Below are 27,936 nucleotides of genomic sequence, written 5' to 3' on the forward strand. Positions count from 1 at the left end.
ATATTAGCCCCTTGTCAGATGGGTAGATTGCAAAAATTTTCTCCCATTCTGTAGGTTGCCTGTTGACTCTGATGGTAGTTTCTTTTGCTGTGCAGAAGCTCTTTAGTTTAATTAGATCCCATTTGTCTATTTTGGCTTTTGTTGCCATTGCTTTTGGTGTTTTAGTCATGAAGTCCTTGCCCATGCCTGTGGCCTGAATGGTATTGCCTAGGTTTTCTTCTAGGATTTTTATGGTTTTAGATCTAACATTTATTTATTTATTTTTATTTTAGTTTAGTTTTTTGAGACCGAGTCTCACCCTGTCACCCAGTCTGGAGTGCAGTGGTGCAGTGGCGTGATCTCAGCTCACTGCAACCTCTGCCTCCCAGGTTCAAGTGATTCCCCTGCCTCAGCCTCCCGAGTAGCTGAGATTACAGGTGCCTGCCACCATGCCCAGCTAATTTTTTGGGTATTTTTAGTAGAGACAGGGTTTCACCATATTAACCAGGATGGTCTCATCTCATGACCTCATGATCCGCCCACCTCGGCCTCCCAAAGTGCTGGGATTATAGGTGTAAGCCACCATGCCCAGCCAGGTCTAACATTTAAGTTTTTAATCCATCTTGAATTAATTTTTGTATAAGGTGTAAGGAAGTGACCCAGTTTCAGCTTTCTAGATATGGGTAGCCAGTTTTCCCAGCACCATTTGTTAAAAAGGAATCCTTTCCCCATTTCTTGTTTTTGTTAGGTTTGTCAAAGATCAGATGGTTGTAGATGTGTGGTGTTATTTCTGAGGCCTCTGTTCTGTTCCATTGGTCTATGTCTCTGTTTTGGTATGAGTACCATGCTGTTTTGGTTACTGTAGCCTTGTAGTATAGTTTGAAGTCAGGTAACGTGATGCCTCCAGCTTTGTTCTTTTTGCTTAGGATAGTCTTAGCAATGCGGGCTCTTTTTTGGTTCCATATGAACTTTAAAGTAGTTTTTTCCAATTCTGTGAAGAAAGTCATTGGTAGCTTGACGGGGATGGCACTGAATCTATAAATTACTTTGGGCAGTATGGCCATTTTCATGATATTGATTCTTCCTATCCATGAGCATGGAATATTCTTCCATTTGTTTGTGTCCTCTTTTATTTTGTTGAGCAGTGGTTTGTAGTTCTCCTTGAAGAGGTGCTTCACATCCCTTGTAAGTTGGATTCCTAGGTATTTTATTCTCTTTGTAGCAATTGTGAATGGGAGTTCACTCATGATTTGGCTCTCTGTTTGTGTGTTAATGATGTATAGGAATACTTGTGATTTTTGCACATTGATTTTGTATTCTGAGACTTTGCTGAAGTTGCTTATCAGCTTAAGGAGATTTTGGGCTGAGACGATGGGGTTTTCTAAATATACAATCATGTTGTCTGCAAACAGAGACAATTTGACTTTCTCTCTTCCTATTTGAATACCCTTTATTTCTCTTTCTTGCCAGATTCCCTTGGCCAGAACTTCCAATAGTATGTTGAATAGTAGTGGTGTGAGAGCACATATGCCATGCTGGGAGAACCACTGCTCTCTTCAGAGCTGTCAGACAGGGACATTTAAGTCTGCAGAAGTTGTCTGCTGCCTTTTGTTCGGCTATACCCTGCCCACAGAGGTGGAGTCTAGAGGCAGTAGGCCTTGTTGAGCTGCAGCGGGCTCTGCCCAGTTCGAGCTTCCTGGCCGCTTTGTTTACCTACTCAAGCCTCAGCAACGGTGGACGCCCCTCCCACAGCCAGGCTTCTGCCTCGCAGATTGATCTCAGACTGCTACGCTAGCAGTGAGCAAGGCTCCATGGGCATGGGACCTGCCAAGCCAGGCACAGGAGAGAATCACCTTGTCTGCTGGTTGCTAAGACCTTGGGAAAAGAGCAGTATTTGGGCAGGAGTGACCCGTTTTTCCAGGTACCGTCTGTCATGGCTTCCCTTGGCTAGGAAAGGGAAATCCTCTGATCCCTTGTGCTTCCTGGGTGAGGTGATGCCCCACCCTGCTTCAGCTCACCCTCTGTGGGCTGCACCCACTGTCCAACCAGTCCCAATGAGATTAACCAGGTACCTCAGTTGGAAATGCAGAAATCACCTGTCTTCTGCATCAATCATGATGGGAGCTGCAGACTGGAGCTGCTCCTATTCGGCCATCTTGGAATGCCTCACTTTTTTTTTTTAAGAGACAGAGTCTCACTCTGTCGCCCAGGCTGGAGTGCAGTGGCACAATCTCAGCTCACTGCAACCTCCACCTCCCAGGTTCAAGCAATTCTCCTGCCTGTGTCTCCCAAGTAGCTGGGATTACAGTGCACCACTACACCTGACTAATTTTTGTATTTTTGGTAGTTATGGGGTTTCATTATGTTGGTCAGGCTGGTCTTGAACTCCTGGACCTAAGTAATCCACCTGCCTCAGCCACCCAAAATGCTGGGATTACAGGCATGAGCCACTGCGCCCAGCCTAGAAACATTTTTTTTTTTAATATTAACTGTAATTTAAAAACTAAAGTTTGCAGTTTGCTCCAATGTATCTCAAAGTCAAACTGGCAGGAACAGACTTATACAAACCTAATACACATACCTAACTTGGAAGGCTTATATTCTTATGCCATATTTTATCATCTGACTACTTAAAAAAGGGACTGAATTACAAGAATCCATCTCAGCATGCTTCTCCAATACATCAGTAGTAACACAATGCTAACATCAAGGGGCCGCCCCCACACAGGCCTGGAGCTGACTCAAGCAGACATCTGGGGTCATGGAGCAGGCAGACTGGAGGCAGGTTGGGAAAAGAACACAGCTCTGGACCAGGAATTCTTCCTTTTCGAAGGGGTTGCCTAGAAGGGTGGTTTCCATGCATGATCTGTGCTGATCTGGCTCACCACCCCCAGACTGTAGCTCTCAGCAATCCCATGCTCAGAGGATGTGCCAGAGGGGTGCCCTCAGCATGGGACCAGTGCCCAGCAGGCACTTTTTTACAGTCTAAGGGGAGGCTGTGACCTCCAGATCCAAGAGTTCCTGCCTTAGAGAAAAGTAGGATGTGGGATAGCGGGTACCAAACCCCATTAGATCAACAATGCCATGTGTCATTTAAGAGTCCCGCACTCTAGAGTTCGCCCTGGATTAGAATCCCTGTTCTGCCGCCTAACAAATAAGTGACCTGAGCAACTTGCCTCAACTCTCTAAGTCTCAGCATCCCAATTGGTAAAATGCCCCTAATACAGCAGGAGCACCTACCTGAGAAGTAATTGTGCAGCTCAGGTGAAACGAGGTTATGATTGGCATGACATTCTCCATTGAGGTTTGCCATAGTTATAGCCATGATTTCATTATTTAAAGAGTCTCTGAGGTCACAGTCATGAGCCCTCAGACAGTACAGATGGCCACCCAGGGGCTAGATGATCTCTTGTTAAGAACGCTGTACAGCAAGCTTGTCCAACCTGCAGGATCTCTTGTTAAGAACACTGTAGAGCAGGGGTGTCCAATCTTTTGGCTTCCCTGGGCCACACTGGAAGAAGAATTGCCTTGGGCCACACATAAAATACACTAACACTAATGATAGCTGATGAGCTTAAAAAAAAAATCACATAAAACTCATAATTTTTTTTTTTTTTTTTTTGAGATGGAGTTTCGCTCTTGTTGCCCAGGCTGGCGTGCAATGGCATGATCTCGGCTCACTGCAACCTCCGCCTCCCAGGTTCAAGTGATTCTCCTGCCTCAGCTTTCCTAGTAGCTGGGATTACAGGCATGTACCGCCATGCCCGCTAATTTTGTATTTTTAGTAGAGATGGGATTTCACCATGCTGGTCAGGCTGGTCTCGAACTCCTGACCTCAGGTGATCCACCTGCCTCAGCCTCCCAAAGTGCTGGGATTACAGGCGTGAGCCACTGTGCCTGGCAAAAATCTCATAATTTTTAAGAAAGTTTATGAATTTGTGTTGGGCCATGTTCAAAGCTGTCCTGGGCTTCATGCAGCCCATGGGCCGTGGGTTGGATAAGTAGCTGGGACTGTAAACATGAGCCACCATGACCAGCTCCGTTACCCTTTTATGGTCTTCCTCTATCTCTCTCTTTTTTTTTTTTCTTGAGATAGGGTCTCACTCTGTCACCCAAGCTGGAATGCAGGGATGTGATCATGGCTCACTGTAGCCTTGACCTCCCGGGCTCAATCAGTCCTCCCACCTCAGCCTCCTGAGTAGCTGGGACTAAAGGAGTGTGCCACCATGCTGGCTAATTTTATGTGTGTGTGAGATAGGGTTTCACCATATTGCCCAGGCTGGTCTCAAACTCCTGGACTCAGCGATCTACCTGCTTCAGCCTCCCAAAGTGTTGGGATTACAGCCATGAGCCATAGCTGCTCCTGGACTACGGTCTTCCTCTCATTACCTTCTGATATTAATTAATGTATATTACCTTATTGTCTGATCCCTCTCTGGAGTATAAGCTCACTGAGTACAGAGACCTGTCTCACCATGGTCTCCCTAGCGCAGCCTGGCACATGACAGAGGCTGAAATATTTACGGAATGAACAAACGGAGAATGACCTGTAACACTCAGGCCTTGCATTTCATCTGAGGCTCAAAGAGATGGAGTTTGTCCAGAGATTGCAGGCTCTGAGCCCTCACATCTCCTATGGCCTTATTTCCATCTGGCTTCTCTGGGGTCCTGGGTATGAGGTCCTAGCTCAAGTCAAGACATGGAGACATCAGAGCTGGGTACCACCTCTTGCACCCTCATTGCACCCTAGCCCTCTCTGGGGTTCCTGCAGTCCTCCCAGAACCTCTGCATGGGACTGAGGCTAGCCAGCTGGTGCTTGGCTAGAAAAGCTATCGGTTGATCAATGAATATTTGCAGAGAGCCTCCTGCAGGTTCACCCTAGGCCTAAAGTGAAGGCAGAATGCCTTGAAATCTGCTGCTGGGGAGTGTCCCGGGATAACCTGGTAGAGACCAGGCCTGTTGAATTCCCCAGCTGTCCTGAAGCCTCCTCCATGACACTTACTGGGTAGTATAAAGTCTAACCCTGAATGATAGTTTGTGATTTCACACTGAAAAATGTCAATGACACACAGTGTGACATTCCAGTTTGCTGGTTAGCATGACCCTTCCTCCCTGAAGGCCACAGCTTTTCAAGGCATGGTCTGTAGACCCTCTGCAATAAACAATAACATGTTTGTGGAACAACGAAGCAGATTCCTAGCCAGCCCAGACTTGCTGGTTTGGAATCTCTGCAGTGAGTCTTGGAATATGCGTTTATCTCAACAGTATATCACTGGTACGACATCACACAACTAGTAATTGGTAGAGAAAGATTCAACCCAGACAGTTGGGCTCCAGAGCCTGTCCTCTTAACTTTTACTCAGTGGTGTCTCTCAGTTCATCACAGGCTCACAGCCACCTGTCCCACTGGGAATGTCTGGAACAATCACCTCTCTAGTTTCCATTTGCACCCTTCCAACAAGCAGGTCCAGTCCCCCTTCTGGTGGCCACCTTTTTACTTTGGTTACATGTGATGAAATCTCTTGTGAATATGCAGGTATGTATGTCTCCCCCATAAGTTCAGAGGGCAGGAAGTTATTCGATTCACTTCTGCATCCCTGGAAGCCAGGGCAGGGCCTGGCCCAGACCAACATCAGTTTCTGTGGGTTGCAAGAAGTATATATTCAACCAACCAATACTTCTTGTGCCTACGACCTGCCAGGCCCTTTCTAGGCACTTGGAATTCAGCATTATAAAACCAAGCAAAAATCTCTTCCCTTAAGGAGCTTATATTCTATGGGGGAAACGTATCATATGAAATAATGGTTTCTGCAAGGTCTGCTAGGAAGTAAATGAAACAGATTGTAAGTGTATAGAGAAAGGTAAGAGCGCTGTGGACTGAAGCAGTCAGGGAGGGATTCCTGCAAGATGCTTCACTGGCATTGCCTTCTTTGTTGAAATCGACTACAAAGCCTCTTAAATGATTTTCTCCCTCACTCCCATGGCCAATGCCGAGGCCCTAGTGTATCAGGCACTATTTGTATGTTCACAGCTCCTTGACTAGGGTCAGCAGGGAAGGTGTGGGAGTAGAGAAATGAGCCAGGAGGTGCAGAGAGACAATTAGTAGTGATGTTATTTCAAGCAAAATCCTTGTTCTGGAATTCCGTCCTGATCTGCTTTTCTCATGTTGCATTATCTTAAGCAAATTAATTAATCCTTTGAGCCACAGCATCTGCATCTGTAAAATGAAAAAAAAAAAAAAACTAACAATGAGGTTGGTGTGAAGATTAAATGCATAACTAAGGGAAAGGGGGACAGGTCAATGAATGGAAGGCATTGTTGCTATTTTGGTAAAAAACACTCTCAAATAGTCCTCAGCCAAGAAGAGGGGCATGGCAGAAAGAGCAGCACCCTGGGGACATCTAAAGCTCATTCAAACTTGGTGGATTCCTGGATCTTCAGTTCCCTGCTGGCGTTATTTTTATTTTTTATTTTTTGTTTTTTATTTGAGACAAGGTCTGGCTCTATTGCCCAGGCTCTAGTGCAGTGGTGTAGTCTCAGCTCACTGCAACCTCCAGCTCCCGGGCTCAAGCCATCCTCCCACCTCAGCCTCTCGAGTAGCTGGAACTACAAGCTCACACCACCATGCCCAGCAATTTTTGTATTTTTTGTAAAGACGGGGTTTTGCCATGTTGCCCACGCTGGTCTTGAACTCGTGAGCTCAGGCAATCTGCCTGCCTTGGCCTCCCAAAGTGCTGGGATTAGAGGCATGAGCCACTATGCTGGCCGTCCTGCTGGTGTTATCTTAAAGAAGTAATCTGATCCCTCTGAGCCTCAGTTTACCTATTCACAAATGGGGCTTACAGCTCCCTGCCAGGGTTATTGTAAGGTTTAAAACCACAGATAAAAAGTCTCTAATTTGGTGCTTGTGACTTAGTAGGAGCTAAATAAACATAATAAACATTTCCGTCACTCTCCCATTTTCCTCCCCACCTAGCCTGGAGGCATCTGAGACAGCCTGATGGGAGTGTCCCTCAGAGTGACAGGGTCTTTGGACTTTCACTCAGGGCAGGCCCATCCAGCTCAGGCCCCACCCAAGACCCTTAGGCCAAGCTAAAGATTCTCTACTTAGGAGAGAAAAGCCAGCTGCCAAAGTTTGCCTGTATCCGGCAGAGAGGACAGGAATTAATCACGGGCCCTGCAGCTCACTCTGGGCCCTGAGGTGATTCGAAGCCTCTCAGATTTAAGTTCCAACTGTAGGCTGAATGCTCTCAGGATTCCAGTGCCAGCCTCTACCCTGGGCTCTGGCCAGTACAGCCTGCCTGCTGCCCACCTGTCTTTCCACCTGGACGTCCGTAAGGCCAATGTGTCCATTTCCTATTGCTTCCGTAACAAATGACGACAAACTTAGTGGCTTAAAACCAACCACACAAATGCATGATTTCACAGTTCTGGAGGTAAGAAGTCCTAATTGGGTTTTCTCTGGGCTAAAAGCAAGGTGTCAGCAAGATTGTGTCCCTTCTAGAGTCTCGATGGGAGAAACCATTTCCTTACCTTTCCCAGTTCCTAGAGGATGTCTTAATTCCTCACCTCGGGGTTCCCTTCCTTCACCTTCAAAGCCAGTTCAAAGCAATGGCAGGTTGATTCCTTCTCACATCGAAGCACGCTGACTCTCCTGCCTCCCTTTTACATTTATAAGGCCCCTTGTGTTTACATTGGGTCCTCCAGGATAATCTCCCAACTCAAAATTCTTGACTTAATCAGATTTGCCATGTGAGGTCATATATTCACACGTGCCATCTTTCGAGGACATTATTTGGCCCAGGAGCACACCAGAATGCTCAATCTCACCACCCAAACCTGTTCTTCCTCTACCTTCCCCATCTCAGACAATGACACCCCCATCTACCTAATCCAAACCAGGGCATCCTTCGTGATTCCTCTTTCCCTCATGCCCCACCCCTGCCACATCCACTACATCTGAAGGTCTTGTCTGTCTACATCTCTCAGCTTCCTCTTCTATTATCTTTGTCCAAGACCCCATCACCTGTCACCATGACCATGGCAGTAATTTCCTAACTGGTCTCTGCCTCCACTCTGTCCTCCCTACAGTCCATTCTCCAAGCAGCTGGGGATCTTTCATCATCACCCTGCATAAAACCCTCCACTGATTTCCCACCTCGGTTAGAACCAACTCTAATCTCTTCACCATGGTCTATGAGGAAGGCCCTGCATAATCTGGCCTTGCCAACATCTCCCAGCTCATCTCTGACCTCTCTCTCTTGTCCACTAAGTTCCAGCCATAGCTGCATCTGTGAATCCTCAGACAGGCCACAGTGGTCCTGTCTCAGGACTGGAATGCCCTTTCCCTGATTCAGACACAGCTGGCTCATTTTGATTAATCCGTTGTCAGTTCAGATGACACCTTCTCAGAGAGGCCCCTCTGGCCTCCAGTTCTATTTGTTCTCCATCTTCCCCAGCCACCACAGTCAAGCTGGCTTTGCTAAGAGTTTGTATGTTACCTGTCTTCCCCACTAGAAGGAAGCCCTAGAGAGCAGGGAACTCATTTACCTTGTTTACCACAGAATTCCTAGTACCTGAGCCAGTGCCTGGCACACATTAGATGCTCAATAAATTAAATACCAATGAATGCAATTTAGAGAAAAAAAATTATGGTCCTTGATTTATATTCACAGAAGTCTGAGATCTGAATGCATATAAATCAGCCCTCCTTGAATTTATTGAGCCTACTATGTGCTGCTTTACGGAAGACAGATGGTAAGAAGCCAGCCTTACTACTTCCAGGACCTCACAGCCCAGGAAGAAAGAATATGCCAAAAAGAAGGTAAAGTTGAGAACTCAAATACAAGGCCTTTCTGGTAAGCTCCACAGGGCAGGGGGCTTAGAACCCTGGGTGATAGTAGGGTGCAGTGGTTCATGCCTGTAATCTCAGCACTTTGCAAGGCTAAGACGGGAGGATTGCTTGAGGCCAGGAGTTCAAGACCAGACTGGGTAATGTCTGGTCCATAGTGAGACCCTGTCTCTAAAAAAATAAAAATAAAAATAACTTAGCTGGGCATGGTGGTGCACACCTGTGGTCCCAGTTACTCGGGGGGATGGCCTGAGTCTGGGAATTCGAGGCTGTGGTGAGCTATGATCACTGCACTTCAGCCTGGGTGAATGCAAGAGCCCATCTCTTTAAAGAAAGTCCTTGATTGCCTAGTGGGTTAGGAAATAAATAAATAAATAAAAGAAGAATGCCAGGCACAGTGGCTCACACCTGTAACCCCAGCACTTTGGGTGGATTACTTGAGCCCAGGAGTTTGAGACCAGCCTGGGCAGCATGGTGAAACACCATCTCTACTGAAAAAAAAAGAAAAAAGAAAATTAGCTGGGCATGGTGGCAGGCACCTCTAATCCCAGATACTCAGAAGGCCAAGGCATGAGAAGTGCTTGAACCTGGGAGGCGGAGGTTGCAATGAGCCGAGGTCGCGCCACTGCACTCCAGCCTGGGTGACAGAGACTCTGCCTTGAAAAAAAAAAAAATTAAAAAAAGAACCCTGGGAGCTCACTGAGCTCCCCTCTGGAAGAGAAAGATACTGTTTAAGGGGAATGGGAATCCAAAGACCAGGGAGAAGGGTCCAGAAAGAGCTCTCATGACTCTTTTTGAGAAGCAACCCCAGTTATTTCAAGAAAATTCTGTCTGAGGAACACAAGCAGCCTAAGATCCAACTTTTGCCCCAAGTAGTTTGCAATCTAGATGTGGGGACTAGCAGCAGAAAGCACAGGAGGGCGTCTGAAGGGAGGCGGTGCAGGAAACTGCTGAAGAGCTTGAGTTTGGGGTCAGGCAAGCCTAGGTCTGTGTCTTAGCTCTACCACTGACTGCTGTGTCTCAGTTTCCTTATAAAAATCTTTCTCCTTGGCAGGGCGCGGTGGCTCATGCCTGTAATCCCAGCACTTTGGGAGGCTGAGGTGGGCGGATCACGAGGTCAGAAGTTCGAGACCCTCCTGGCCAACATGGTGAAACCCCGTCTCTACTAAAAATACAAAAATTAGCTGGGTGTGGTGGCACGTGCCTGTAATCCCAGCTACTTGGGAGGCTGAGGCAGGAGAATTGCTTGAACCAGGGAGCCAGAGGTTGCAGTGAGCCGAGATCATGCCACAGCCCTCCACCCTGGCAACAGGGAGAGACCCCATCTCAAAAAACAAACAAACAAACAAACAAACACAAAACTTCCTCCTTTGCCAGGTTGTTGTGAGACTTTTTCTTTTGTTTTTGTTGGTCTTTTTTGTAGAGATAGGGGTCTTGCTTTGCCGCCCAGGATGGTCTCAAACTCCTGGCTTCAAGTGATCATCCCGTCTCAGCCTCCCAAAGTGTTGGGATTACAGGCATGAGCTACTACACCCAGCCTGTTGTGAGACTTAAAGGAAGATTATGAATGTAAAGTGTTCAGCACAGAGTTTTGCACTCAGTAAATGCTCAATAAAAGGCAGCTATTGTGATTAAAATAAATAGATGGGACAGTGTATGGGGCTTTTAGTGTTTTTGAGATTCTAGGGGCTGGAGAGGAGCTGTGTGGCCAAAATGTGTCTCAGTTATAGATAGGCCACAGGGCCAGTGAGTCCCCTGGTGGGGTCCCAAACAGATCATCCCAGAAGACTGAGGCAGAGAGTCTATGGTGTGACCCAGATATATGTTTAACAAGCTTCCCCAGTGATAGGTCACTCAAGGTTGAGAACAACTGACTTCATGTGGCCATGCTTGGCAGGCCAGCCACCCCTGGTTTTTGCCTTTCAAAGCAGCAGCATTTGGACACCTTTCTCTTGGAAGCACCACACTGGGCTGGATGCCTGAACCCTGCCTTCCGTTTCCTGGAGCAGAGCTTTGCAAGGTGCAGAGAAACACCTGGTTTGCAGGTCCCAGGAGCTGTGTAAAATGCAGATTCTTGGACAGGATCCAGGCCTTCTGAATGAGAATCTGCAAGAATGTAAGGCTGGGTGCAGTGGATCATATCTGTAATCCCAGCACTTTGGGAGGCTGAGACCAGTGGATTGCTTGAGCCCAGGAGTTCAAGATCAGCCTGGTCAACATGGTGAAACCCCATCTCTACCAAAAAAATACAAAAATTAGCTAGGCGTGCCTGTAGTCCCAGCTACCTGGGAGGCTGAGGTGGGAAGATCACTTGAGCCCAGGAGGTGCAGTGAGCCAAGTTAGTGCTATTACATTCTAGCCTAGGTGACAGAGCCAGACTATATATATACATACACACACACATACATATATAGTGTATATAAAGTATATACCTATATAAAGAATATATGTATGTATATAAAGAAAACATATACATACATAAATATACGTGTGTGTGTGTGTGTATGTGTGTGTGTATATATATATGTAAAACAATCCAGAAGTATGTGGTCCAGAAATCTACAGAGGTGAGCTCCTGAGAACACTGGCTCTCTGCCCTTTGCTTGGACACCTTCCCTCATAATTTCATCACCTGCACTCTTTTGTCCTCCAAGGCCTAAACGCCACCTCTTCTGTGCCACTGGCTGCCATGGCTGAGCCAGTCCTTTTGCCCAGTGGCCCCCCTCTGTAACTGCACTTATGTCACCACATGGTGGGATGTGTGCGTATGCCATTTCCTCCCAGAACATCCTCCCTTCCCTACCTGCTTGCATTCATTCCCCCTCTAATCTCAGCAGGTGCTCCGTGAATGTTGGTGGTATCAATCTGGGGGTTAATCTTTCTCTCTTCTCCTATCCTTCATTACATTAAAAATTCTTAGAAGGTGACTCTCACCTGTAATCCCAGCACTTTGAGAGGCCAAGGCAGGTAGATGACTTGAGGTCAGGAGTTTGAGATCAGCCTGGCTAACATGAAGAAACCCCATCTCTACTTAAAATATAAAAATTAGCTGGGCGTGGTGGCGACCGCCTGTAGTTGCATCTACCTGGGAAGCTGAGACAGGAGAATCGCTTGAACCCAGGAGGCGGAGGTTACAATGAGCCGAGATTGTGCCATTGCACTCCAGCCTGGGTGACACAGTGAGACTCCGTCTAAAAAAATAATTCCTAGAAGGCAAGGTTTACATCCAAACACTAACCTTGCACTTCAACCAGCCTTCAGGAAACATTTGGTGAAATGAAACGTTGACTCCTCTGTTGTGATCAAGTCCAGACTATGTATGGTTCCTAGTAATTCAGGGAGGCTGGGTTGGTTATTCTCACAGAATCAAGATTAATGATCTCCCAGCAAAGCAGTGATTTTACCTGTTGATAGAGTCCTGCTTAATGACTAAAAATCACCTATCTTATACTTTCCAGCCCCTGAAGTGTGGCCCCTCCCAGAGGAAGCCAGAGGGAGTCAGCGCCTGGGACCAAGATCAAGGACCACCTGGTATTCCTCTCCCTATGACTTGGAAATTCCACCAGCTAAACACTGCCAACAACCAGTGGCTTCCCATCTGGCCTACAGTAAAAACCTAAGATCCTTAGGATGCCTACAGGGCTCTTGGTGATCTCCTTCTCCACAGCCCCTCCTCCATCCCCCACCCCACTTCTTGTTATCTCTTTGACATCATCTCCTACAACTCTTCCTAAGTCTAGATTTGAGCTTCTCAAACTTGGCACTCTGGACGTTTTGGGAAGGATCATTCTTTGGAGAATGTGGAGACCGTCCCGTGCATTGTAGGATGTTGAACAGCATCCTTGACTCTCATAGTGCACACTCCCATCCCAGCTGTGACAACCCAAAATGTTTCCAGACATGGCCAGATGTCCCCTGCGGGGAGAGGAGCAAAATGGCCCTGTGAGGACCACTGGTCTAGACCACTCCCGCCAGCCCTGCTGCCCTCCTTGCTGTTCACACTACTACTTCCAGGTCCTTGCACTTGCTCTTCCCTCTACAGGGGTCTCCCCTGCACTTCTTTCTGGTCTTTACTCAAATGTCACCTGCTCGGTGAGATCTTACCCAACCATCCTATTTAAAATTGCAACCCATCCTAATCATCCCTAAAACATTTCCCTCCTTAATTTTTCTCCATAGCATTTATCACTGTTAGGCATTCCACAAGTCTTACTCATTTTTAGTGTCTATTTACTTCCATCCAGTAGGATGTAGCTCTCTGAGGGTGAGATTTTGTTTGTTTGATGTTTTGTTTTGGTCTTCTCTGTCCACTGCTGTATCTCTGGACTTAGAACAATGACTGGCACACAAAAGGCACTCAATAAATATTCAATGGATGGGTGGATGGCTGGGACAGCTCAAATTCCTTTCTACCTCAGAAGCTGGTGGGTCAAGAGAGAAGATAAGCCTGTGTCACTTCTCCAGTGAATCCATGGTGTCATGGATTCGCTGAAGCCATGTGTCGGGGTGGACTCTATACTGGGCCTTTAAGCACTTTACCTCCTCCCACACCAGAGTTTTTTTTTTCTCTCTCTCTCCTTTTTCCTGTCTTTGTTTCTTTTCTTTTTCTTCTCTCCTCTCCTCTTCTCTTTTTCCTTTTGCTTCTCATAGTCTTGCTCTGTCACCCAGGCTGGAATACAGTGGCATAATCATGGCTCACTGAAGCCTCAAACTCCTGGGCTCAAATGATCCTCCAGCCTCAGCCTCCCAAGTAGCTGGGACTACAGGTGTACACCACCACGTTCAGCTAATTTTTTTTCCCATCTTTTTAGAGACAGGGTCTCCTATGTTGCCCAGGCCGGTCTTGAACTCCTGGCCTCAAGTGGTCATCCCACCTCAGCCTCTCAAGTAGCTGGAATTACAGGTGAGAGCCACTGTACTTGGCAAGAGTTTTATTTAATTGCCCTTCTTGAGAGAATAGTGGAAAATTATGTGGGACAGGGGCTTTCAGAGCTGGCTATGAAAAGCAGTCATTTCTTCTTTTCTTTTTTTCCCCTCTCACATTCTTTTTATAGCTGTATGTATCATGCATGTGCAACCTCATGTTACCCCTGCCCTTTGGTAAGAAGCCTATGTTTACATATATATATATTTTACTTATATAATAATAATCGTTTATCTTTTCTGAGTGCTTCCTGAATGCCAAGTATTGTGCTAAGTATAGGGACCCCTTCATTTAACCCTCCAAACAACACTATAAGTCTAGTTTTATTGTTATTGTCAACTGCTTCTGCAGATAAACTGCCATAGCTTCAGTATCTGATGCAGAAACACATAGACACATATCTGAATTTGAAGCCAAACAAGGCTGAGCATGGTGGCTCATGCCTGTAATCCCAACACTTTAGGAGGCCGAGGCAGGAGGATTGCTTGAGCTCAGGAGTTTGAGACCAGCCTGGCCATGCAGTGAAATCTTCTCTCTGCTTTTTTTTTTTTTTTTTTTTTTTTTGAGATGGAGTTTCGCTCTTGTTTCCCAGGCTGGAGTGCAATGGTGTGATCTCAGCTCACTGCAACCTCCACCTCCTGGGTTCAAGCGATTCTCCTGCCTCAGCCTCCCGAGTAGCTGGGATTACAGGTATCCACCATGCCCAGCTAATTTTGTATTTTTAGTAGAGACGGGGTTTCTCCATGTTGGTCAGGCTGGTCTTGAACTCCTGACCTCGTGATCCACCTGCCTCGGCCTCCCAAAGTGCTGGGATTACAGGTGTGAGCCACCACACCCAGCTCATCTCTGCTTTAAAAACAAAACAAAACGAAACAAAAAAAAATTAGCCAGCTGTGGTGGTATGTGCCTGTGGTCCCAGCTGCTCTGAAGGGTGAGGTGGAAAGATGGCTCGAGCCTGGGAGATAGGGACTATAGTGAGCTATGATCACACCACTGCACTCCAGCCTGGGTGACACAGCAAGACCTTATCTGAAACAAACAAACAAACAATAAAAAAGAACAAGATGGTTTGACTCTGGTATTCCTCTCATTCTTAACCACTACAATAACTGCCTCTCTTGAAAGATAAGCTCATATCAGACAGTCAGGCAGTAAAGAAGGTAAACAGGTAGAGCTCACCACACTCCCCCAAAGGAAAAGCTGTTAGCTGATAACACTTATACCAGCAGAATTTTTATACCAGTAAAATGTATAGAAGCATATAAAAAGATATGAACACATATACCCATGTAGTTAAGTGGGTTTTTAAAATTTTAATATTTATTTATTTTAGAGATAAGGTCTCATTCTGTTGCTTAGGCTGGAGTGCAGTAGAGCAATCACAGCTTACTGCAGCCTTGAATTCCTGGGCTCAAGCAATCCTCCCAACTCAGCCTCCCAAGTAGCCAGGAATATGCCTAGCTAATTATTTTTATTTTTATTTTTGTTGAGACGGGGTCTCACTGTGTTGACCAGGTTGGTCTCAAAATCCTGGCCTCAAGCAATCCTCTTGCCTTGGCCTCCCAAAATGTTGGCATTACAGGAAGTGAGCCACAGCACCCAACTTAAGTGAGTTTTTTCTTTTTCCTACAATAGTAGTGTCAGACATTTTGTCTCCCTTAGTTTTTTCACTCTCCAATAATACATTTTGAACCAGATCTTTAAACTCCATTAAGTTGTTGCCTCTCTTCTTTTTTTTTTTTTGGTGAGACAGAGATTTACTCTTGTTGCCCAGGCTGGGGTGCAATGGCGCGATCTCGGCTCACCGCATCCTCCGCCTCCCAGGTTCAAGCGATTCTCCTGCCTCAGTCTCCCGAGTAGCTGGGATTACAGGCATGTGCCACCACGCCCGGCTAATTTTGTGTTTTTAGTAGAGCCCTGGTTTCACCGTGTTGCCCAGGCTGATCTCGAACTCCTGACCTCAGGTGATCCGCCCACCTCAGCCTCCCAAAGTGCTGGGATTACAGGCATGAGCCACTGCACCTGGTGTTGCCTCCCTTGTTAAAAGGCTTATGTGGATGTTCTGGCTGCTGGAGCTAAGGATGAAGGTAAACCTTGGGATGAACTGCCATTTTGCATAATGTGCTGGCTACAACAGCGGCTGGACGGGTTTAGACTCTCATTTGTTCACGTGCTACCTTCAGTTGGGGTGTTTGTTTATTGTTTTTGTTTTTTAGCTTAGGTAGCTTCAAGGTACCAACCCACCGGCTGAGAAATGAATAGGTTCATCTCTCTAATAGATCAGAGGTCTTCAAAGAAGAGCTTTCCTGGCAGCCCCAGGTAATCCTGGAGATGGGGCTGAAGGAGCCCAGGGGCTCCTTAGGTGCCTTAAGGATTGGACCCAGGATGCATCGCTCATTTTCCAGGTATGGACACTGTCCTAGGGGCCAAACTCCTGGTAGCAGTTCATTTAATCTATACAACTGTACCAGGTAGGTCTCACTGCCTGGTCTTACAGATGAGAAACTGATGCTCAGAGATGTTAATAACTCACCCTGAATCTCACAGCTCATAAGGTGTAGAGCTGTATCTTTCTTACTTAGATCTCATGGAATCACAGCAGAAGGTTGGAGCTGTTTGAAGTCTTCTAACTCCAGCCCCTGATTCCATATAAATGAAGCACAGCAGCCTAGGGCTCTCACAAAGTTGGCTGCAGGCCACGCAGCAGGTGTGAAGAATTGGCTGAGGTTCCCCAGTTTTTCAAACTATATTTGCTATAAAAGACCTCCAGGAAAGGGGTAGAATTGAATGGAGTAGATTCTGCATCCTGAAGCCCCACAGGCATTAGAATAACTGTCTTCCTGAAGAGGATTTGCCCACAGCTCAACCGAATTAAGCTGTATGTCAATATGAATCAAGGGTGGGAACCATAATCTATAACTTCTCCCAAAGAGACAAGCCCTAGCCTGCTGATAGAGCTGGCCCTGGCAGGAAGTGGCAGGAATGAGGGATACTGTTAGAGAACTGAGACTTCAAACACTCCCACTCACACCAGCCCTCCGTTTTTTACCAACAGGGACTTTTTTGATTCTAGAGCCTCTTAATTAAATCCCTCCATCCGCAATCTCCCAAAGCCAAAAATATAGTCACCCATAAGTACACTTTTTCCCTAGTCCAGTCTTTTCGGTTAAAAACAAACATCAAGGCTGAGCGTGGTGGCTCATGCCTGTAATCCCAGCACTTTGGGAGACCGAGGTGGGCAGATCACAAGGTCAGGAGTTCAAGACCAGCCTGGCCCACATGGTGAAACTCCGTCTCTACTAAAAATACAAAAATTAGCTGGGCATTGTGGTGGGCGCCTGTAATCCCAGCACTTTGGGAGACCGAGGTGGGCAGATCACAAGGTCAGGAGTTCAAGACCAGCCTGGCCCACATGGTGAAACTCCGTCTCTACTAAAAATACAAAAATTAGCTGGGCATGGTGGTGGGCGCCTGTAATCCCAGCTACTCGGGAAGCTGAGGCAGGAGAATTGCTTGAACCCCGGAGGTGGAGGTTGCAGTGAGCCGAGATTACGCCATTGCACTCCAGCCTGGGCAACAAGAGCGAAACTCCGTCTCAAAAAAAAAAAAAAAAAAAAAAAAAAACAACCGTCAAAACCCTCTGCCCAAACGGGTGTAACAGGGATGCTCCTTGCAGGATTGACTGTATTCGTGAAGAGTTAGAAACTTGCTAAATGTCCTTCAAGGGGAGATCCAAGTAAATAAATTGTGCCAAATCTGAACTGTGGTGTAGTCTGAGCACCCCCCACCCCTAGTAAAGAATAAATTGCATCCAAAGATAACAAGGTCACCAAGACCTACTAGTAACTGCATCAAACCAAGTTGCAGAATAAGCACAATAAATAACTAAAAATTAGGAAAGAATACAGAAAGGGTATCACAACTTCATAAGGAAAAATTTGAAAAACACAGAAAAATTGGAAGTAGAATCACTCCTCCCTCCACCACCCATTTCTGAAAAGGAATCATTGTTAATATTTAATGTCTTTCTCTCAGTTTCCTTGCTGGATGTGGTCCTGTCATAGAAAGTGGTGGTCAGAACACACTGGAGTGTGACCAGGGCTGAATCGCACGCAGCTTTTTCACCCCCTGCCTAGGTGAGCTTCAGTCTCCAAATCTGTTACATGGAAGTGATTCCACGCTCCAGGGTTGTTGTATGGATTAAATGAAACCAAGTATGGAAAGCACCCAGCCTGGTCCCTAGGAAATAAGATTAATACATGACAGCTATTGTTCCATTTCCCTTAACGTTTTTACGTAATTGATTCTGAATGTTCTTCGGAGTCTTTAAAAACACCACATCGAATGGCTAGTTTTGAATGACTAGATTCTAGTGTCTTCGCCATTCTCTTAGGAGAAATGTTTGGGCTGCTTCCATTTTTACTTTCTTATAAATAGCTCTGTGATGAACACTGTTGTGAATATAGCTTTACCTCCCCCGCATTTTGAAGATTTTCCTTAAGATCATTTCCCAGAAGTGGAATTACTAGGCCAAAGGGTAATAAACATTTTTAGACTTCATATGCATAATGCCTGATTGCACAAAGCAGGTGTTACTTTCCATACTTACCTCCGCCCCGCCCCCACCTTTTTACCATTCCCAAAACCTCCCTGCCCCCTCATCCTCCCTGGAAATGACACCTGGCTGCTTCCTACCTCCCACTTCCTGTGCTTCCGCCTCCCCTGTCTCCTTCAGCTGCAGAGCCCTTCCCCCTCCCTCTGCCAGAGTAAATCCTCCCTGGTTTTCAACCCTCATACACCTTTCCCCAGCCCTTCCTGAGGTCAGGAATGAAATCTTGGGCTTCTCTCCCTTCCCTACTCCACCCAGGAATTTCACGTATTCACTGGGCAAAATATCCTACTAGGGACAGGCTAGGGAATGTGGCTGCGGGGCTTTAGGAGCTGACTCTTTGGTCACGGGGAGAGAGGGAAACATAAATAATCAAATGTAAACACGAAAGACAAGGGCATGGACAAGTTCATAACAGAGAAGAGAAAAGGGAGGGTCAGCTCAGCCTCATGAGTGATACTTGTTGGTGCTGTGTGACTCTGAGCACGTCACTTAGCCTCTATGAACCTGGGTGCCCCATCTGTACTCATCTCTTCACTGGGAAGCAGAGGTTAAGTAAGTTATTCAGGTGAACTTGCTTAGCCAGAAGTATGCAGCAGGTGCTCAATAAATGTGTGTTCATGGTGAGGACTTAGTATAGACTTGTGGGTTAATACACAGGCTGGGGCTGGACTGGGAGGGTGCTTGTGGCCAAGAGGCTCACTTATCTCAGGGGCCTGTTCTTCCCATTTGGGGACTAGGCTGCTGCATGCTCATTTCTTCCACCAAGAGGCAGGTTTCCTGCAGGGTCTGGTTGCTTGGGTCTCAAGTCCCTAGAGTCCAGAGAGACATGCCAAAGGGATGGAATTGGGGGTGAGGGGGAGATGACATGTGCTTACAAGGAAGTGAGTTTACTCATGAATCATCTTTGCCTCTGTGTGTTGAAGTGGTGGGATAGAATGTGCACAATGCCTCCTTTTAACACCATTTTTCTGGACATGCTGCAGACTTTCTCCTGTTCAGTCTGCAAATCACTCTGCCTTAACAAGGAGAACTTTGCACGAGGCCCAGAGAACAGAGGCTTCTGGGACTGATGTCACCCGAGGTTCGAGGAATGCCAAGGGCACCAGGCTGGGCCGTTCAGTTATTCATCCTCCCCATGGTCAAGGCAGGCTCAGAGCAGCCCCATCCCTGCCACAGATGAAGTTCAAGGCTATGGCCAAAGTCAGGCTTGCTAAGTGTCTTTTGGTGGTGGGGATGGAGCAGGGACTATAACCCTCAAATTTCAGCAATTTAAAGCTGAGAGAACCTTTAGTCACCATCTAATTCAAACTTCTCCCCTCTTTTTGTAGAGGGGAAACTGAGGCTCAGAAAGTTTGAGAGACTTGCCTAAGCTTACACAGCTCATGGCACAAATTATAAAGCTAGGACTTGAACCTTGGTCTCCTGATTCCTAGCACATTGCTCTTTTCAAACCCCACAGGTACGATCCATCTAGGGTTACCTCTCAACCCACCCCACATCCTATAAACCCATAAATCACTGTAATATTGACAATGAGCTACTATCTATGATAAGTACCTGACATAAGCACCAGGCTAAATGCTTAGGATGTATTGTCTAATTCAAGCCTTTCAACACCTCCAGGAAGTTAAGCACTAGAACCGCCTGCTACTCAATGTGTGGTCTACGGACCAGTAGAATCAGCATGACCAGGGAGCTAGTTGGAAATACAGTCTCAGCCCCAGAATAGGAACCTGCATTTCAAAGGCTCCTTGGGATTTTATGCACAATAAGGTTTGAGAAGTGCTGCCATAACAATCCCACTTTAGAAGACAGGAAACTGATGCATAGAGAGGGGAAATAACTCCCACCGCAGATCAAGTGGTAAAACTCCGGTGGGACCTTGGGCAAAGCCCTTGCTCTGAACCCTTGAGATTTCGGAAATTTCCCCCCACTAGTTCTAGGCCAGGAAGGATAGGATTTCAGACCCCCAGGAGCAAGGAAGTTACTGGAAAAAGACTATCATGAGCATTTTACAAGGTATTTTCCCGTCTATTATTTTGTTTCTACTTTACAACTTAATAATTATCCTAACTTAAGAAGAAACTGTAATTCGGAAGCATTTAAGCCATGTCTCCAACGCTGGCTGCACTGCTGTTCATTTCTAGAGCCTTCCCCTTTACTCCAGAACCCACTTACTGTTTCCCCAGGCAGCCTTAGAGGCAGAAAAGGCAACTGTAGGTGATGCATAGATAAAAGTCTCCCATTTGAATTGTCATATATTTTACTTTCCACTACCAAACAAACAAACAAATAATAACAAAAACAAAAAAAACTGAACTAGATTAATAAACCACAGATATTAGTGCCTAAGAATAAGAGGTTTGGGGCTTTTTTTTTTTTTTTTTTTGAGATAGAGTTTTGCTCTTGTTGCCCAGGCTGGAGTGCAATAGTGCGATCTTTGGTCACTGCAACCTCTGCCTCCCGGGTTCAAGTGATTCTCTTGTCTCAGCCTCCCCAGTAGCTGGGATTACAGGCGTGCACCACCACGCCCAGCTAATTTTGTATTGTTTAGTAGAGATGGGGTTTCTCTGTTTTGGTCAGGCTGGTCACGAACTCCGCACCTCAGGTGATTCGCCCGCCTTCGTGGCGTGAGCCACCGCTCCCGGCCGATGATTTTTTCTTTTAATGAGTCTCCATAAAGTCAATTTTGGGAATGATAAAGGAGGTGATAATACAATAGCAAAATCCGTGAGGGTGGTAAGAAACTGGAGTCTGGGAAATGCCTCCAGACACCAAAGTAGAGAAAAGGAGAGAAAGGAAAGGAAACCAGCCAGGGGCTCTCTACCCAGAGGCTACTTACATTTAATGTATAGTTCTCTCCCAGTGGCCCACCCAGGCTCTTACTAAGGAGAAAATACAATGCTCAGTTGATGGCACAGACTTCCCATTTAACAAATAAAAACCTTAAAAAAAAAGAAAAAGAAAAAAGAGGCCAGCACAGTGGCTCACGCCTGTAATCCCAGCATTTCCAGAGGCCAAGACAGGAGGACTGCTTGAGGTCAGGAGTTTGAGACCAGCCCGGGCAACACAGGGAGACTTCATGTCTACCAAAAAAACTTCAAAATTAGTGGAGCTGTGGTCCCAGCTACTCAGGAGGCTGAGGTGAGAGGAATGCTTGAGCCTGGGAGGCTGCGGTGAGCCGCGATCACGCCACTGCACTCCAGCCTGGGCAACAGAACAAGACCCTGTCTCAAAAGAAGAAAAGAAAAGGACCAAGTGGTACTAGCCATTTGTCTTCCTGGCCAGAATCTCTAGGGCAAAACAGGAGAGAAGACAAATATTCCCCTAAACTCCTCCCACCCCAGCCTACTTCCCGCCTGAGCACCATCCAAATTGGAGTCAAAGCACAGAAAGGAAGTGCTGCCTGGGGAGGCCGAAGCTGGGGGATAAAATCCTACTCCTATGCTCCAGGGATAGCCGGTGGCTACTCAAGGGAGAGGGAAGACCCGCATCTCTTTCCTTTCAGGTGTTTGCACTCTTCTATCTCTTGCTTTCTCTAATGCTGTCCAGGACACTTAGTGGCACCACTTTTTATTTTTTATATATTTTTAAAATTTATTTTATTTTATTTTAAGATGTGATCTTGCTTTGTCATCCAGGCTGGAGAGCAGTGGCGTGATCATGGCTCGCTGCAGCCTCAAACTCCTCAGCTCAAGCAATCCTCTTGCCTCAGCCTCCCAGGTAGCTGAGGCTACAGGCACACACCATCATGCCAGGCTAGCAACTATTTTTTGTAGGACCTTTGAACTTTGAGGAAATGGACATTCTCTGCTATACCCCCGGTGTCATTCAGGGATCACAAGTAAAGAGTTATGGAAAATAAGCAAAAAGTCTTCTAAGAATCTGGAAAACAGACATTGTAAGGAACAAGGACTGTTATTTTAGAAAACAGAAAGTGAGGAAGGGATAAGATTACCATCTTCAGTATTTCAAAGAGGGTCTAGGTTTACATTGCATTTTTCCAGACCTGAAAGCAAAAGTTAGAAGACACACAGAAGTCCGTTTCAGCTATGTGACCTTGGCCAACTGTAAAATAGGGACAACAGATAGTACTTACATCATAGGGTAGTCATGAGGATTAAGTGCTAAGGACATACCTAGCATCTCGTAAAATCCCAGGATACACTTGTTTCCTTTTTTGGCCTCATTCAAAAATGTCTCATGAGGCAGTCAGCTCCCCTTCTGGCAAATTTCAATGTAGAATCATAATTCCTTACTGCCAAAATTCTGAGCTTTGGTGCTGCCCATGACTTTTCATTAAAAAAAAAAAAAAAAAATAGTGGTTCACATGGAGCCCTTGCCATGCTCCAGGCACGCAGAGAAGGGCTTTATGTAGGTACTTTTTAATCTTCTCATCAGCCCTATGAGGTAGGGAGGTAGGTATTATTATCACCCTTGTTAGTTTTTTTGTTTTGTTTTGTTTTCCAGATGAGAGAATCATTGCTCACAGAAGTGAAGTAACTTTTCCAAGGTCATACAATCAGTAAGTGGCAGGCAAGGACTGAAATCCAAGTTGTTACCCTCCAAAGTCCCTGCTCTGAGAACTGGAGGAATTCTTTATCAAATCTAAAATCCTCTTTTAGGCCTGTCTGCTTTAATATTCCGGTCTTTATTGATCCTTCTCTTCTCTAAAACTTCAGCTGTCAGTATAAAAATCAAGGAATTTAGCACTTGTTATTGTGTGAACAGCTTCTTGTCTCTCCTGTACTGTAAGTGGGTCTAGGGATTTTTATTCTTTAAATATCCCCCTGTACTCAGTAGATCTTTGGGAGAACAAGCTCATAGGCTTCTAATAATTCTTTCTTTGACTGCCAGCTGAATTAGACAGAAGGTAAGTCCTGCTGCCGTGTCGTGCCTAACCCCATCTTTATTTCCTGTGCTGTTAGAGAACAGTCTTTTCTTGGCTGGAACAAATACTACAGCCTGCTCAACTAGCTAATATGTATTGAGTTCTTAATATGTTCCAAGGACTGCTCTAAGTATTTTATATATATTAACTCACTGAATCTTAAATACCCTATGAGCTAAGTCCTATTTTTATCCCCATTTTACAAAAGAGGAAACTGAATGTACCAGTGCATCAGTATTTGACTGAGTAAATGAATGACTGCTTTGCTGATGGATAGTATTATTAGCAACAACCCTACAAATATGATGTTATGTTTGCATCATGCAGTACAGCTTTATGTACCTTATGTCATTGTCACTCATGATTAGCAAATAGGCACGAACATCCCTATTTTATAGAAGAGGAAACCATGGCTCTAAGAGGGTGAGTGATTCTCAACAGTCACATGCCATCTGTATCCTTCAGTAAACAAGGTATTTGGTCCATTCCAGGATCGGGGGCAAGAGAGATGGGAGGGCCTCGGTGAGAAACACTCATATTCACAAAAGGTACTAGATAGATAGACAGATAAATAAATAAATAGAGATAAAAGCTAGTAATAGCAGAGATTTGATGGGAATTCAGATCTTTGATTCCTAGTCCAGTGCTCTTTCTTTTATGTAAGGTGATGGGAAGCAAGTCTTAGGTCCAGATCTGGCAGCTGCTTTGATTTAGGATCTTAAGCCAGAAGCAGCAGCGCCCTAAACAAAAAGCATCATTTTAACTTCTCTGCATTTCTCACATTTTCAACAATGACCATGCCCTACTTTCATAATTAAAAACAAACAAATAAACAGAGGGGGCAAAATGCATCCTTCTGAGTGGGCTGGGGCTTGTAGAGGGATTCTTGGGTTTGCTCTGGGATGTCTTTGGGCCCCTGCACTTGTGGGCACTCTGATTTATCCCCACAGGCCACCTGGCCCACCTTATGGGCTGAGGAGGGCTTGATGGGCGGAGGGAAGCAGAGCTGAGGAGCTGGGGAGGAGCTGGAAAGGACTGCTAGAAGGTTCCACTGAAGCTACAATGAGTAGAACCGGACATGAGAGTTTCCAGGATTCTGTAGACCTGTGAACTCCCTGAATTGTAAGCTGCATGGTGTGTGTGCAGTTTCCAAGGAGAGGGCCCATAACTTTTGCAAAAGGGTACCCCATGACCTTCCAAAAGGTAACCCCAGATTATAACAACAATGACCCAAGACATGAGGGTTAGGACGACTGGTCAAACAAGGGCCAAGAACCCTGAAACACTTCTTGCCCCTCTGAAAATAACTGTTGAGGGGCAAGATTAATGAATAGGACAAGGTCCTGCCTCATGGACTCACAATATTAATTTAGATTTTGCTTTTTTCCCTGAGCCAATTCTCACACTCATTCCAAAGTATTTGGGACACAGGCAAGAGATTAGTTGCTCCATTAAGCCCTTCCAGTCTCAGACACTCTCCTCTTCCTCCTAGACCTGTGGCCGATGGACTCCAGGTCCTGAATCTATGGACTGTGCACCTCCAGTTTTCTGTTTCGCCTTTTATCCAGTGTCTAGGGCCCTGATTTGTGCTGTTACCAACTTTCTCCCCAGGTGCCTCCTAAAAAGCTGGCCACTCTCATGTCTCAGCAAGCACTGAATTCCATTCCACCAACACTGATTCAGCCCTCACCATGTGAGGGTGTTGTGAAGGAGACACAGATGGTCGGATAAGGCCCCTAAGTCTAGCCTGGGAGACTGCAGGTTAATGGCAGGACAGATAACACTCACGGACCAGGCTAGTGGGGAAGGGAAGTGAGAACCCCTAGGAGGGTGACGGCTAACAGGCTGGGGGATTAAGTGGTGGCATCCTGAATGTGCGACAGTAGCTCCAGAGCTGTATGAAGGTGGAGAAGGATTGCTTTACAAAGAATGGGGGCGGTGTGCGGAGGGGTGATGAGAAGGAAGGTGAGAAACGTTAGAGGTGGGTTGTGGCCAATTGGCCAGACCGAGGACCTTAGTGTTCACTAAGGAATTTGGATTTTATCAAGACAGTGCGTAGGTGGCATTGAAAATTTTTGAGCAGAGGAGGTGGGCTCTGTGCTTAGACGTAAGCTTAAGACCACACTGCAGAGGATGAGAGAGCAAGGAGGGGGCTTTGAGACTGGGATACAGGATGCTAATGTAGGGTCCAGTGGGGATGGGGGATAATGGGGCCCTTTAACTACAGCGATAGGCAGGACCACCTACAGAGTTTGTGGGGTCCAGTGGGAAAGGAAAATGCAGGGTCTCTTGCACAAAATTATTAACAATTTAGTAACAACAGAGCATTAAAACAAGTGGGGGTCCCTTCTAAGTACGGGGCCCCGTTTGGCTGCACAGGTCACATACCTGCAAAGCTGGCCTTGGCCATGGGACAAGACAGGATGAGTCAGATGAGAGCTCTGGGAAGCAGGGTCCCAGGACTTAGTAATCTGTTGGATATGGGATGTGAGGAAGCAATCCAGCTGACAGATGACCCTCCTACACCGGGTGCCATGCCACCCTTCTGCTTTCTGGGCACCTTCCTTGGTGTGACCAACTCTAGCTTATTAATATGAATAAACTTCACCCACTCCTCCTTTTCCTGCTACCCTCACCCCAGACCTGCTCCTGTAGAGTCCCTATCTAAAGGTTAAAAACTATGGTGTTGGCCAGGGGTAGTGGCTCATGGGTCATACCTGTAATCCCAGCACTTTGGGAGGCCAAGGTGGGCGGAGCACAAGGTCAGGAGTTCGAGACCAGCCTGATCAACATGGTGAAACCCCGTCTCTACTAAAAATACAAAAATTAGCTGGGCGTAGTGGTGTGTGCCTGCAATCCCAGCTACTCAGGAGGTTGAGGCAGAAGAATTGCTTGAACCTGGGAGCCGAGATCACGCCACTGCACTCCCGCCTGGGCGACAGAGCGAGACTCTGTCCTAAAAAAAGAAAAAGAAAAGAAAAATGCTAACCGGGTGTGGTGGCTCAATCCCAGCACTTTAGGAGGCTGAGGTGGGAGGATTACTTGAGGCCAGGAGTTTGAGCCCACCCTGGCCGACATAGTGAGAACAAGCTTTTTTTTTTTGAGACCGAGTTTCGCTTTTGTTGCCCAGGCTGGAGTGCAATGGCGCGATCTCGGCTCACTGCAACCTCCGCCTCCCAGGTTCAAGCGATTCTCCTGCCTCAGCCTCCCAAGTAGCTGAGATTATAGGCATGCGCCACCATGCTCGGCTAATTTTTTTGTATTGTTAGTAGAGACGGGGTTTCTCCATGTTGGTCAGGCTGGTCTCGAACTCCCGACCTCAGGTGATCCGCCTGCCTCCGCCTCCCAAAGTGCTAGGATTACAGGCGTGAGCCACCGCGCCCGGCCCGAGAACCTATCTAAAAAAAAAAAATCCGGAAACAAAAAAATCTTTGGTGTCCCTCTCCAGTTCTCTCTCCCCATCTCACCCCTCCCAGCATCTCACTTCCTCAATGTGCTCCCATTCCTATGGCCTCCCCATAGCTGCTGTCACTGCCAAGTTCTGGCAAGTCCATATCAGCTCATGTCTAGATTACCCATGAAATCCTCCCATCCATCCCCCAGACTCCGGACCCCACCACCACTCTCAAATAAAGCACCGATCCCGCACAGAGCCGCCTCAGCGATGTTCCCAAATGCTATCCGGATCTTGTCACTGAGTAAGATCCCTCGTTGGGGACTGCCCGGCCAAAGACTAAGACCCAAATGACTCAAAACAGCACAAGGCCCTCTGTTGCCTGACCCTGCTTAATCTGCTAATAAATACCAGAAGGGCCTTAGTCTCCCACATACCTCCAGTACGCACCATGCTGGGGGGGTTGCGTTTTTTGTTTTCTTTACCCCAAGCAGTTTCCTCTGCCTGGAATCTCCCCTCCTGCTTCGCAGCCTGGCTTACAATTCATTCCTCGGAGTTGGCCTCAGCTCTCCTCTCCTCGGGAGGCCTTCTCCAGCCCACGCCCCACCCTGCCACACCCCTACTGGGCGCTCTTCCCCACGGACTACAGGCCTTCCCCTTCCCTCTGGGCTGGGGGCAGCTGGGGCTGAGTATAAGTCTTACTCACGTTGGTGCCGCCAGCCCCAAAACAAAGCCTGGCCCACGTGGGTGCTCCGCGTATGTGTGTGGCTCTAGGCGGAGATGCCGGGGGTGGAAAGAGCCGGTAACAGAAACAGAACGTGCTAGAGGAAGAGCAGCCTGCAGGGAAGGCTGGCACAGATAACCACAAAAAGAAAGAAGGCCCCCGCATCACGTCTTCACCAAGACCCCACTGGCAAGGCGAGGACAGCGCCTTTGGGTGGATGCATCTGTGACCCAGAGGCAATGCTGGCTGTCCTGGTGTCTGATTTGATTGCATCTGATTTCAAAATTTGATCTCTGCTTCCTTCTGAAAACCTCATTCCCTTATGTCAGTTGTCAACAAGCCCTTGTCTAGTGCGGGCAGACTGTTTTCCATCAAGCAGTCCCAGCCAGGCTAACAATAAAATGGTTGGCAGTGAGCTTGGGGGCAGAAACCTGTTTCCATCCATGTGTCCCCGCAGCTAGCAAAGCCCTGGCACACGGCTGACCCTCAATAAATGCTTGCTGAATGGGTGAATTGTGTCTGCTTCCCCAGGAATAGGGGTGGGAGGCCTGAAGCCCCTGG

General features: G+C 46.7%; 1 long non-coding RNA gene across 2 annotated transcripts, besides 1 other annotated feature; it reads right to left on the bottom strand.

The window, feature by feature from the left end:
- Positions 1–5,311: 5,311 nt before the first annotated feature.
- Positions 5,312–27,452, bottom strand: DUSP5-DT (DUSP5 divergent transcript). Of its 2 annotated transcripts, NR_187548.1 has the most exons (3): positions 27,089–27,196; positions 25,975–26,065; positions 5,312–6,196 (listed from the first exon to the last, which is right to left on the bottom strand). It is a non-coding gene; the product is annotated as a DUSP5 divergent transcript (long non-coding RNA). The 2 variants fall into 2 exon arrangements; NR_187547.1 differs by lacking the exons at positions 25,975–26,065; positions 27,089–27,196 and adding an exon at positions 27,358–27,452.
- Positions 27,399–27,922: an enhancer, noted in NCBI's record as "H3K4me1 hESC enhancer chr10:112256187-112256710 (GRCh37/hg19 assembly coordinates)". NCBI's record gives its function as "activates a minimal SCP1, AML or CMV promoter by ChIP-STARR-seq in naive H9 embryonic stem cells {active_cell/tissue: H9 hESC(naive)}" and the evidence as "EXISTENCE:reporter gene assay evidence [ECO:0000049][PMID:30033119]".

The sequence above is a fragment of the Homo sapiens genome, chromosome 10 (genome assembly GCF_000001405.40).
Source record: "Homo sapiens chromosome 10, GRCh38.p14 Primary Assembly".
NCBI classification, from domain to species: Eukaryota; Metazoa; Chordata; class Mammalia; order Primates; family Hominidae; genus Homo; species Homo sapiens.